Raw genomic sequence first — 13157 nt, 5'->3', positions numbered from 1 at the left:
ATGCATTCTTTATACAATATTGCTTAAGATCCTTGGCTGAGAAAGTAATTTATTTAATCACTGAACAATTGTTATTGAGCACCTATTATGTGCCAGGCCTTAAGGTACAAATACAAAAAAGACAGATTTAACGTTATTTTTATAGCTTATTGTTGCTTAACTATGCCAGTTTTAGCCTTTGCTTTTGACTTCGGTGGGTTATTTCTTTTTAATTTTATTGCTTTATTTTTATGTTTTTAAAAATAGAACTTGATAATTTCAAACGAGTTAGCCTAGTAAAAGTGATTTTATGTTGATAAAAGGAAATATTTTAGAAATATATCTTTCCCCAAAAATAGTTTTAGGATTGAAAAGTTGAAAGAGTCAAGAGAAAAACTAAGACAAGATGGTCTAGAATTCCAACTCCACATCTTTTAAAATAATAATCAACATTTTTTAATTGTGAAAAAACAGAGCAAAAAATTAGGTGTATATGATTGAAAAGAAATGAAAAAAGAAAAAGTCATCACAAATGTTTTCATTTGGAATAAAAATGATCACCAAACATTTGTCTTTGTCTCATTTCTTATTTTATTAAATTCATGACCATATTGAACACTGTGTCCTATTTCCTTGACATTCTAGTGAATGAAAAATGAGAGAACACAGTTAATGATTTGATTATGGTACAAAATTATATCTTATATGTCAAGATAAATGTTAACATTGATACAGAATTTATGGATTTGTAGACAGTATTTGATTTCTGGAAAAATATTTTATCAAAATTATTAATCATTTATTATTGTCAACAGAACTGTGTGACAGTTTTCATTACACTGTGGTAAGAGATAGTGAATATAAAATCTCTTTCCAGACTGACTGTCATGCAACACCCAAAGCATTTTGAAGAGGACCAATTTTAATCTGTCTTCTTACAAAGATTTATGCCATCATCAGTTTTATATAAAGGAAAAACTCAGTGCCCAGAAAAAAAGATACCTGAAAATAAAATGTGCATTAATATATGTACTTCCAATGAGGTCACTGGGGCCAGGGCTTTGTTTACTAATCCGTTGTGCATTTGCAGCAAGACAAAAAAAGATACTAATCTTCTAAACATTAAAAAAAAATATTTATAAGTTGCTTTAATGTAAAATTAATTTATAAAACATTTTCCATATCTATTGGTTTAAAATAATTCCTGCTTTTGTTTCAAGTAAGACAACTCACCAGTAAGAAGGAATCTACTCAACATTAAACATGCCAACAAATATTAACTTTTAAAGAATTTACAAAATTTTGAGTACAGTTCCATCTTTCTTCAAAGTAAAATGTTAAATTGAAATGTGGCTTTTCATCTGATCATTGTGGTACTGTAAGTATTGTTGTTATATAATTGTCATGACAGTCTTCTTAGCAAATTAACTCTTATTATGCAGAGCAAAACAAATACGCAAAACAAAAACAAAAGCAAATTATTCGTTAGCAATCCAAATTGGAAAACCCCTGCTATTAGCTTAAGGAAATAACTGGCTATAACAAGCAGAAACAGATGATTCAATTTATCAGGATCTTTCATATTAAAGTGAAGTGATTACATAAACATAAGATTTAAATCATACATGCTAAAATCGTGTGAATTAAGTGTTCTGTTGAATCATTTGAAAAATAATGACTTTGATATATTGAAAACTGAACCCTAGTAATCTGAAGAAGTCAATGTGTTTTTAAAAAAGAAAAAAATAAATAAAGAGCTCAATTTACTCACAGGGAATAATTTGTGCAATGTGAAAATTGGGCGAAAAATGAAAATGTGTTAATAAAAGCCAGTCTTTAATGTGTATAAGCATAAAAATCCATAGAATACACACAAGATAACAATTCGGGTTTTAGCTCATTTGTTTTGAAAACAGACCATCTTGATTAGATCTCAGAAAATGATTCAACAGGTAAATTATAGGTATAAATTTTTAAAAATAATTTATTTTAAGTAATCTGTGTGGCATGAGAAAAAGTAAAACTGGAGGATTTAGGTTTTACATTGAACATGTATGTGGCTTAAATTTTCTTCCAATTGACTACTTTCTACTGTGGTGAGTCTTAAACCTCTCTCTTAAGAACAAATATTCCCTGTGCTCCTTGTAGAGTAAACTGCCATTTTGCTGTCAGTACCAAATAAATAGATAGCAATAGAAGAAGATGTGAACACTTTTCCTGTCACAACTAAGTAGCTTCCATAGGGAGTATTAATATCAGTAACAATAGCTTGTTTTTATTAAAAATGAGGATCAGTACTTACACTAAAAACAGAATTTTAAAATGGATTTAGAAAAAAAAAAAAACAGGAAAAGTACCGTTTTACCTAAAATGACAATTCCACATATTTGTCCATCCCTAACGTGGATGTTTAATCCAAACTGACACACCCACATGCAATGCCTTTCTATAAAGATAAACTACAAACATGGAACTGCTGATTCAAGTTCTTTTGAGTGTCCTCATCTATCTTGAGTTGTTTCTGAGCTGACTTCACTTCTAATCTGCTCCTTATCTCTTATTTATGGTTTCACTCCTGACTATTAATTTTTCTTTTCTGAATGTGTTCCTCCTTCATCAACTCTTGGACCTCTCTCAGGGACCTGCCTAACCCTCCTGACTGACTCTCGCTGTTCTCAGCCCCACCTTCAATGGGGCACAGACTTATGGTGGTGTTCATCTTAAGTATCTGTAGAATGTGCCTCCTACTCTCCATCATCACCAACGGTTTCTTAGTGCAGAATTTTATCATCTCTCACTTGAAACATTACAATACCCTGCTTACCAGTTTTCTTGCCAAAGTCCTGGTCAACTTCCAATTGATTCACTACACTTTCCCAGAGTAATCTTTCTAAAACAAAACTTGGATCAGTTCTCTGCTTAAAACGATTCGATGCCCCCTAAAGCCTTTTTGGATCTAATGTGGACTTCCTTGCATGATATACCAAGTCCTTCATGATCTGGCTCCTCCCTTACCTGTTTACAGCAGTCTCCTATCAATCTTCAAAAGGAACACGATACACCAGCCACACTGAGCTGTTCTGTCTTCCTGAAACACAGCATGTTGTTCCATAACTTTGTGCCTTTGTATTTGTTGTCCCTTCTGCTTAAAGTACTCTTTCTTATTTGTCTGTGCCAAATGTAAATAAAATTCTGAATATGAAGATCAAGTGTTCACTTCCATAGGTAGGGAAACTGTCATAGTTGACTTTGCATATGCCTGAGGGGTTTCTCGGGACACGGGATTTTCAGCTATAAATCTGAGATAGTCCTGAGTAAATTACAATGGCTGTTCACCCTTGTTGAGAATCAAAAACTAGACAGAAACAAGTCTTCCTCTTGTATGTTCTTCATCTTCCCTGAATCTCTACCCTAGCCGTTACTGCCTTCTATTGCAACTGTTTTAAATTTATGTCTTATTCCCACACCAGGCTATGAGCATCTTCAGAGACTAGGCCTTATTCATCTTTGTATTTTTGTCAGCTACTCTATCATCAGTCATAGGTTATGTATTCAGGAAATGTTTGATAACTTCGAGTAAAGAAATTGATGAATAAATGCAGGAATGATGGAATGATATAAAAAGATTATAAAGGGAGGTCAGGATTTGTGTCCCAAAGAGTATAGACAATTTAAAAAATAAACCCTGGAACTAAGGCCTGGCATGCAGGTCTCAGAAGCAAGCAAGAAAACCACTTGTCAGATTCTAGGGCACATGAGTAACCTAGATTAACACAAGTCTCTTGACTTCTAGAAATCTCAGGAAAGTTAGTTAAATTATAATTTCCACCGTTCTCTGGAAGTCCAAATCTCTCTTTAACACATTCATTCATTCTGGGAGGTGGAGAAGATTTATGTTCTTACAGTCACATCTGCTGCTGGGTTCCTGTTTCCTCAAGTAACACATTTTAGGATCAGTCAAAAACAGATGTAAAATTCAGTCCTGCCCACGGGTTCCACAAACAACCCATTCACTCAAAGCATTCGCAAAGTTGTAGTATTTACCAATGATTTGAGTAAGGTAGAAGAAATACTTATACTACAGAAATGTAAAAAGTAGCATCAACCAACAAAACTTCAAACTGAACATTTGGCATTTGTGTTCCTGCTCTGTAATATCCTCTGGCCACCTACCACAAGAGAATTTCATCTAACTTTTCTCCTGAGAGCCGTCTCATCTCTCACTAACTTTAAGGTTTCTGCCTCTTTCCTCTTTCTTCTCCACTCTTGTTTTTCTTCACTCTTCCTCCCTCATAGAAATAAAGAAATTTGCCCTCTTGTTTCTTACTGAGCAGTACAGCCCCGGTTTTTTTCAAACATCCAAATTCCCTCAGAGTCACTCTCTACTCCCAAGGGGCTGACCAAGGTATATTCCCATAAAAAAGATAATTTCCACCCTAAAGAGAAGTTATGGCCAGCCTTTACGATGATTACATTTCCACCTCATTACCAAAGGTCAGAAATGGAATAATCACAATGATGCAATGATGAAGAATCACAGTGATGACCAAAGAAAACTAGTAATTTCATTTTACCTAATGACAGGCAGAACAGGCTGGGACTGGAACCGGATCCTAATCAGCTTAAAGCTAGAGACTATAATTGACTTGTCCATTAATGGATCATTGGCAGTTAGCCCAGCATCAGACACATAGTAAGTACTCACTAAATGATTTTTGAATTGTGAATACATGATTTGCAAGTTTGGTCACGCAAACATTTGTTCTAATTAAGCCACTAAAATAAGTGGTCAGCTGGGCGACAGAGCGAGACTCCATCCCAAAAAAAAAAAAAGTGGTCAGTTTAAGGAAAAACAACCTGTTAATCCATTTAACTAAAATGGATGACTTATTAAACACAACCAGTTATTAGCCATCTTGAAACTTGGCAATGCAAGTTAACAATTGGTTAAAAAGTCAAAAAATAAAATTTACTGAATGCTTCTTTATCACACTTGTAAAAACATTTCTCTGTGTTGACTAAACTAATTCTTACTTTAAAAAATTGCACAGGCAGAAACAAAACTACAAATAAACATTTTTGTCTAAGTGTACTGCAACAGAAGGCATGCAATTATTTGGGCTCAAAATTAATATTAAAGGATTAAACACATAAGTGTACATATTACTTGGAATTTATAATTAAAGTAAAGCAAATAGGCTCATAAGAGAATGCTTTAATATTGTTAACACTACTTATTCAGAGTTATGTAGAATGCTAAAGGCCTAATTTGTTTCACCAAACAATTCATAGATCCAGAGAGATGTCAACATTACCAAAGATGTAGGAGTGATCTCTTCCTATGCCAGAGTTAAAATACTATCTTCACTGATAATAATAATAAATTTAATCATCAATGTATGTAGAATACATTTTAAAAAGCAAAAATCTTAACTGCATAATCGTAGCTACATAAAAATTATACTTTCCCAGGAATGATTTCAGAGGTTTTGTTTTTAAAATCCTTTAATCATCTTCTAGTTTAAACATACATACATTAGAAATACTATATACGTTATTTACCTTTGGGAGCCTTGGAAACAATGTTTTAGTATTTTAATCCATTTCAGTTATTCTTTCCATTGGGTTATTTTCACGTTTTTAAAATTCAGAGTCAAAGAAACTATTCTAATGACTTTTTAATTCTGTTGTTAACAGAGATAATTATAGATTATTACATAATGGGATTCTGCTTTCCAATGTTCATGAGAACATTTAATGACTATTAGTAAAAGACTGAGAATTATAGAGAAGCTGGATATCGCTTCACTTCACTAAACCTGCACGTTAAATAATCATGAAAACATGTAAAACCTATCAATGAGTTTCCTCATAAGATGCCCTTTCAAGTGTTTGTCGTTTTCTCCTTCCATTTACAGAGTTAAAACGGGAATGCACATACCTTACCTTTCTTGTGGCCTTCATTTTTCATTAGCCCCAAGTGTGGCTCAGACATCACAGCTATTTTAGTTAAAACATGAGAATATTCTGCAATGTGGGTAAACTCTGATTTTTAAGCAGCTCTAATTACAAAAATTCTTGCTTTGCTATTTTTCTCAGGGATAGCAAGAGCTGCCAGCATTCCAATTTGGAAAACCTTTTACGGGAAAAAAAACAAAACTAGTCCACAATGTTTTTTAAAAGTCTTGTGTGGTGAAAGGGAAACAAATTTTATTAGCTTTGTTGAGTCAATTTTTTAAATAAATCTTTTAAATGATTAAAATATTAATATACATTCATTTTAATGTGTCATTTTGAGGAGTTTAGACTTTTTTAAATGAAATACTTGCAAATATTGGGCAAAATGGGTGACAACATTTTTCTCCTGGAAGCCCCCCACTGCCACCCACAACAACCTTGTTCTGCCTTGTTTCACATCAATTATAGATCCAAAGAGACTCTGTTGATTTTACTTGGATTATTTATGGTAACACATTCTGTCACTGACTTTTCTTGGGGGAAAGGTGCCTGGGTAACATTTTTACACAGATCTTAAAATTGCGAGATCATTCATCTCCTTTTTTCCTGTAATGAACACTTTAGTTGCATTCATATTGTATCAGATGTGGGTAAAGTTCAATATTTTAAAGTAGTATAAAGTTATCACTGAACAAATAAAACTTAACTAGAGGAAAGTTTATAAGTTTTATATATTAGTTTCATATATATATGCTTATTTTCATATATGCTTAGTTTCATATATATATGCTTATTTTTGTTTTTTTCTGTTCTCTTAGATAAAATAGGATTGCTCAGAGCCTATGTATGTCCAAGTTATATTCTCACAGGCAGCTTGGGGAGTTCAATGACATGGAAAGACCGTGGAAGTGGTTTCCAGTGAGTTGAAAGAGTTAAAGCAACTTTCAAAGGCAACTCCTAGCATGTAATTTATATGCATAGAGAATCCACCTCATTTTCCCTAAAGACCAAAATGTCCATTCCCATCTGCTAGCATATTTTTAATCGTTATTTATTATCATAGATGTTGGAAAAGGAAATACTTATTCATACCACCATGTTCCCAGAAGCATATTTTTTCAAGAGATCCTGACAACTACCCTAGTCAAACTTTAAATAATTCCAAGGTTTTTTATCACTGACTTAAAAAAATTTCAAATTAGCACTCCTGAGTTTTTCCCCTGATATCTGTAATTAATCTGTCAACCTCAATAAAACCAATTTTTCTAAATCATTCTATGTGCTGATAGTCCTCAACATTTGCAAGATAGAACAACTAGAAATGCTTTGTTTTTGCTACCATAAAAATTTCTTTAGGTCATTTATTAGCCCTTAGTATTTGTCTTCTTTGAATTATTAGATACGTTTTTCTATATTTTTAAGTTCAGAGTATCTGTGCTACATTTAATAGGAATTCTGGTTTTTTTTCTCACAAAGTATCACTGAATTATGTATAGGACTATGTCATTTGTATGTGAGATCTTTGCACTAATCAATGTATCTTTCTAATAAAGTATTTCAATCTTAATATAATAGTTTTATTTTTTATTTGCTTTAAATTAAGAGTGAAATGTACTTTTTGACTGTATATATACACATATTAAATAAATATAATATCTCTTTATTTAACCAATATTAATTGCCATTCAGCTATGTCACCATCCTAGGCATGAAGAGAGAGTTGTCTCAATAATTTCAGACAATTATTTTGTCTATAAAAGTATCTAATCATTCATAAAATTTCAGAGAATTGTATCTGCTATATCTTTGCAAATGAGTTATTAATCTTATGCTTAATAGATTCTTAAATAGCAAACATAGATTCCTAATAACTTAAATGGTTACTAACAAGTCCATTCACATGTTGCATATTAGTGGCATTTACAGTAGTATTTACAGAAAATATGCAAAGCGATATCAACAACTTTCCACAAGGTCATTTGGGGTGAGAAAATATGCAAGTTTTACTGAGGAAAGTTAGCTCTTAGGCAAATTGACCATTCTTGCACAGTGCAAAAAATTAAAAATCCAGATATGTGGTTCTTTTTGTTCCTTTGCACATTTTCAATTGGCAATAAAATATATTGCACTTGGGGTAAAAAAATTTTTGGCTTCTTGAAATTTTTAAATCTATCTTAAACTTATGCAATTAAATGGTTCTCCTTGAGTTGTTGTTCACTAGAACTTAGAAAACTTCGGATGTAGTTATTTGTTTTCTTGCCTGAGAAAACAGTTTTTAAAAAGGATGAACAATTCAAAACAATTGCAGATTAAATACTTTTCAGGCTTGGAACTCTGACTTCATAACAAGTGATAACGTAAGTTATTAGTTTCTGTAAATTGCGTCACTTACTATATTCCTACAGCAGGTCCTCCATTGAAAAGAATAATGAAAAGGATAGCTCACTTCTGTGGCTACCTAATCTGTTCTGCAATGTCAAATCCATCTCACAGAAGTTCAATCTCAAGAGAAGTTCTACCCAAAAATTGAATAGCATGGTAGTTGCTCAAGTATCTATACATGTGTGTATTTGTGTGCATTTATTACATGTAGACAGAGCTTCTCTTTTATACTGGGCTGAAACCTCCCAGAAAATCTGTAACTCTTAACAGGAAGAAAAATAGGAAACAAAAGACACAAGTCTAAAACAGCAAACATTCAATTGAATATCAAAATTAAGACATTGGGACCTAACACATTCTTACAAAAGCACATACCTGCTATTGAATACTAATTTCAGACTAATTCAAAACATCTCGTTTCTTACAGGCTTTTTACAATTCTAAGAATACACAAACACACACACACAGATAATTTTATGGGACAATTCCTAAATTTTTCTAAGAATTTAATTTACAATTTCCATGTCTTGTTAATCAATGTAAAAATCAGAGTGGAACTAAAATGATCTTACACTAATTCACAAGTTAAAGTTTTGCTATTAGGAGAACGATTTAGTTAATTCTATCTAGTAAATATATATCAAAGTGTAAGCTACTGAAAATTAATATTATATACTTGCATGGTAAATTTCAATGTTCACTGAGCTTATTTAAAGTTTTTATAATGGAATACACACACACACACACACACACACACACACACACACACATGCTCCTGGATATTTAGAATAACTTCCCAAAAGGCAAATTCATTTCTCAATAAAGGTATCTCAACCCAAATATACTAAACTTAAGTATTAACAGCTTTCTTTGTTATAATACTAATCATCTATGAGTAGTATAGAAACAATATTACATGTATTGTTTTGTAAGATTCTGCACATTGTAAAAATATTGGGGGATATCTACATTCTGTCCTGCTTTTAAATTTGTGGGACTGATTTTATGCCACACAAGATTCAATTTCATAGTCTTAAATGCCTCAGAAGTGTTCTAGAGATTCATTGCCTGAACAAGACACATTGTCAATCCCCACCCAGGCAACAGGTCCATGCTTAGTTATTAAATAGTCCCAGACAAAACAGTAACCATGGTGCTTTCCAGCTAGCTGTAAAATACTTGATTTTCTTGCAAGGAGTCCATTCTGATGTTAAGAATTCTTACAGTCAAGCCATAGCCTTGTACGGTTAGTTATTATCCTTCATGTTGGAACTAAATCTCACTTTTTCTTTTGTACCCTCAGTAAAAACAAACTTTCTGACACTTCTTAAGCTCTCAATATATTAATTGAAATGTATGAGCAAACAGTTATTTATAGTGTTTTGTTTCTGCACCTCTTTTGGTCACTATTTAACTATAAAGATGAATAGCTCAAATTAAGTTTTCCCATTTTATTTTCATTGCATTGAGCTCTGTTGAAATATACTAAATATAATATATATAGCAGCATACTAAGGTTGAGTATTTCATATATAAAATAGAGATGCTCAATTTCTTTCCTGCTTCTAAACCTGTAAACTTCCCTGTCTGTACTATCCTGATCTCCCTCCATTCTTTCTCTCTCCACCTCATATCTAATCTTCCTGCCAATGCACAGTATTTCACCCTCTCAGCTCCTAAGAGAACTTACTCCATCAGTGATCCTTCTTTTTCTCCTGGGATTGCACTTTCTTTCTCATTTATCTAAAGATATTTTTTCAATATCAAGTGTCTCCTGCCTTAAAACAAAAAGATGAGGAGTGTTCCACATTTGCTGTCTTTCTTTACTTCATTGTTAGTCCAACCTCAACTCACTGAAATCTAGACCCTTCCCTCATTTCATTTAAGCTGCTCATACAATCTCATTACTGGCCTCTTTACGGTACCTTTTCCAGTTTTCATCTTATTTGACTTCTCAGTGGCATTGACAGCACAACAAATGACTACATTTTCCTTGCTGGAATTTTGCCCATTAGGTCTCAGAAAAACCATTCAGTCTAGGTTTTCCTCCTAATTTGCTAGGTATTGCTTCTCAGGTTTGGATAGTCATATTTTTCCAAGCATTCCTTAAATACTGTTCCTTCCCTACCCCCAGAGTTCAATCCTGGGTCTTTATTTGCCCTCATCCTGTTAACTCTTTCTGTGAATTTGTCCTTACAGTTGGCTTTCACTGACACTGAAAGGGATGATGACTAAAGCAATTGAAATTTCAAGCCCAGGATTCCTTCCTGAGCCATTGGGGCATGCTGGAGTCCCACAGTACCAGAAGTACCTCTTGGCTGACCCCTCCAGCTTCTAGGAGGTAATTATTAAAGTTCTGACTCCAACTGGCCTGGTCTAACTCTTCACGGTTTGCTATTTTCTTTTTCCTTCTCAATTTTGTGTGACTTAAAAATAAAACTTTTATTTAACTTAATAAATCTATCAATATTATAATTTTAAATTCTATTTTATAAATATCAGAAAATATAAAGATTTCATTGAATTACCATGAGCAAAGATTATAACAATATAATGTAACACTTATTTTATTGTTTTCAAATAATATTTTCATATTTAGTCATTAAATCCACACAACCAACACGTAACTTTATTATTATTGTTTACTGTAGGGAATTTAGGCTTCTAGAGGTTTGGAGTCTTGCCCATGATCACACACTAGTAAGTGACAGAACAAGAAGCTGAAATATTAGAAAAAATTACATATCCTCACATAAATATTTTATGGTCTTTAACTGTCACCAATCACAAAGTCGTGCTCCAGGGTTGAGAGTTGTTTTTCTCAAAGATGCTACAAAGAAGGAAACATTTAGTTTCTTATTCCTTGCTGACTTTTATTTTTTTGATAGAAGAAATAATTTAGTCCTAAAGCATTAGAAAAAATGAAAAATTAAAGAGGGAAATGAAAGACCATGAATCACCTACAAAGTGAGTTTTATATTCTACATAGTCAAGAGTTAATAGCATATGTATGCTTTCTTTTGCATGAGAGTGAACAAATTACAAGCTGGACAAGATGTATCAAAATTCAAAAATAAATCTTAATTTTTTATAAAGGATTTAAAAGCTACTTCTGCAAGATTCAGACAAATTGCTTGTCCTCAGTGCATTTTGCTCAGTTCTCTCATATGGTGATGGCCTTTTGACATTGGCTTTAAGGGCCTTTGCTGATCTTACCACTCGTTCCATATGTTTAAACAAAGCATGTGGTTTTGCCAGCATCCTGCCACAGACAGGGAAACATAATCTCTGAATGAGGCAGGAGCCCAGAGCCCAGAAGATCTTCAGTTATGCTGGGACGAGACTCCCGTCTAGCAATGAGGGGCAGTAACATTCCTCCCTGGCGCCTGCTGAAACAAATTTCAAGAATGGTAACAGTCTTGTTTTAAGGTTTTAAAACTATCAGTCTGGGATCAGCAGCCTTTTCTAAGAAGCTGTGGATGCCAAATTCCAGCTGTCACAACTTGCTTCTGTGAGAACCTCTGCTCAGTTGGTCAGAGACTTGGAAGACGAACCTCGTTAAGACTGTGAGCCACAGCTCTTTTCAGACAGACCAAACCCAAACCACAAATCGCCCTCTTGAAAACCCCAGCCTTTCCTTCTTGGTTTGGAATACAGGGTTAACACAAGGTTATCTGTAGGTTAGATGTGAGCACCCAAACAAAATATTTAGCCAACTATATGACTAGTTTGTGGTTTCAGGTTTTTATTTCAAAATATTTGCAGCCCATTAATCACTATCATGAAAGAGTCTTCATCAAGGAGTTCACACTCAGTTCATTTATTAGGCTACAGAATCAGTATTTATATACTTGTATCACAAAGAGAAAAAAATAATTGACCAAATTGAATCAGAAACATGTCTAGGATTTGAGGCCTTCAAGCAACATTTTTTTCTCTTTACAAGATTTTCAGTTATCCAATCGTGACTGCAGAGTGGGTGACATTGGTTCTCTTAGGGAAGGAAAGGTAAGGTTTCAGCTCCACATGCGCTTTCTCAAGACCAGAACCATGACTAATGAATTGCTCAACAGGAAAAATAGCTGATCTTCAAAGAGTTGAGAATGTGTAGCTGTAGTGAATATTACACATAAATAATGTTTATTGGACTTGAGTGATCTCTCATTACACTCCTTAAAAAGAATTTCCTGAATTATTTTTATGGGCAATTAAGTCATAGTTAACAATAATTAAATGCTTAATATGTGAGGGCACTATTTTGAGTCTTTTACTTGCATTAATGCATTTAATTCTCACAATACTACTTTGTGGTTGCTATTTGCATTATGCCTATTATATCGATAAATACTAGCCTAGAAAAGTTAAATAACTTGCCCAAGATCTCATAGCTAGAAGGTAGAAGGACCAGAATTTATCTTTGATGTTATAATTTAAGCAATAGATGGAAGGTCATGTTTTCTACTGTGGAACTTACTGTGTCTTTTGGCTTCTCCTCCAAAATGTGTAGGGGGCTACCTACACAATAGGTGTCTGCCTATGAAATAATAGTACGATTGGATTTTTGGTGATGTGGCTTCTTCCATTAGTACAGTTTGTCACTTTTAGTAAGTCAAGTGCAGTGTTGATACTCTGGGTCAGTGTTTTCTTTGGACCACTGGGGTAGGAATTAGAAGCCCTCAGTAACAGATTCACCTCTGCCATCAACAAACTCTATATCCTTAACTAGTCTTTTAACCATTTTGAGCCTCTGTGTCTCCTCTCTACCTGAAGGTAATAAGTCTTGCCCTGTCCCGGCCAAAGAACAGAATCCCGGACATATCAGTGACAAGAAGTTTGTT

General features: G+C 33.5%; 1 long non-coding RNA gene across 1 annotated transcript; it reads left to right on the top strand.

Moving 5' to 3' along the window:
• The first annotated feature begins 1227 nt into the window (after positions 1–1227).
• Positions 1228–10652, top strand: LOC105377956 (uncharacterized). Its single transcript, XR_942894.1, has 4 exons — positions 1228–1357; positions 4564–4672; positions 6756–6855; positions 10519–10652. It is a non-coding gene; the product is annotated as an uncharacterized LOC105377956 (long non-coding RNA).
• Positions 10653–13157: the final 2505 nt, after the last annotated feature.

The sequence above is a fragment of the Homo sapiens genome, chromosome 6, assembly GCF_000001405.40.
Source record: "Homo sapiens chromosome 6, GRCh38.p14 Primary Assembly".
In the NCBI taxonomy this organism is placed as follows: domain Eukaryota; kingdom Metazoa; phylum Chordata; class Mammalia; order Primates; family Hominidae; genus Homo; species Homo sapiens.
This window is presented reverse-complemented; position numbering and strand designations above follow the sequence as displayed.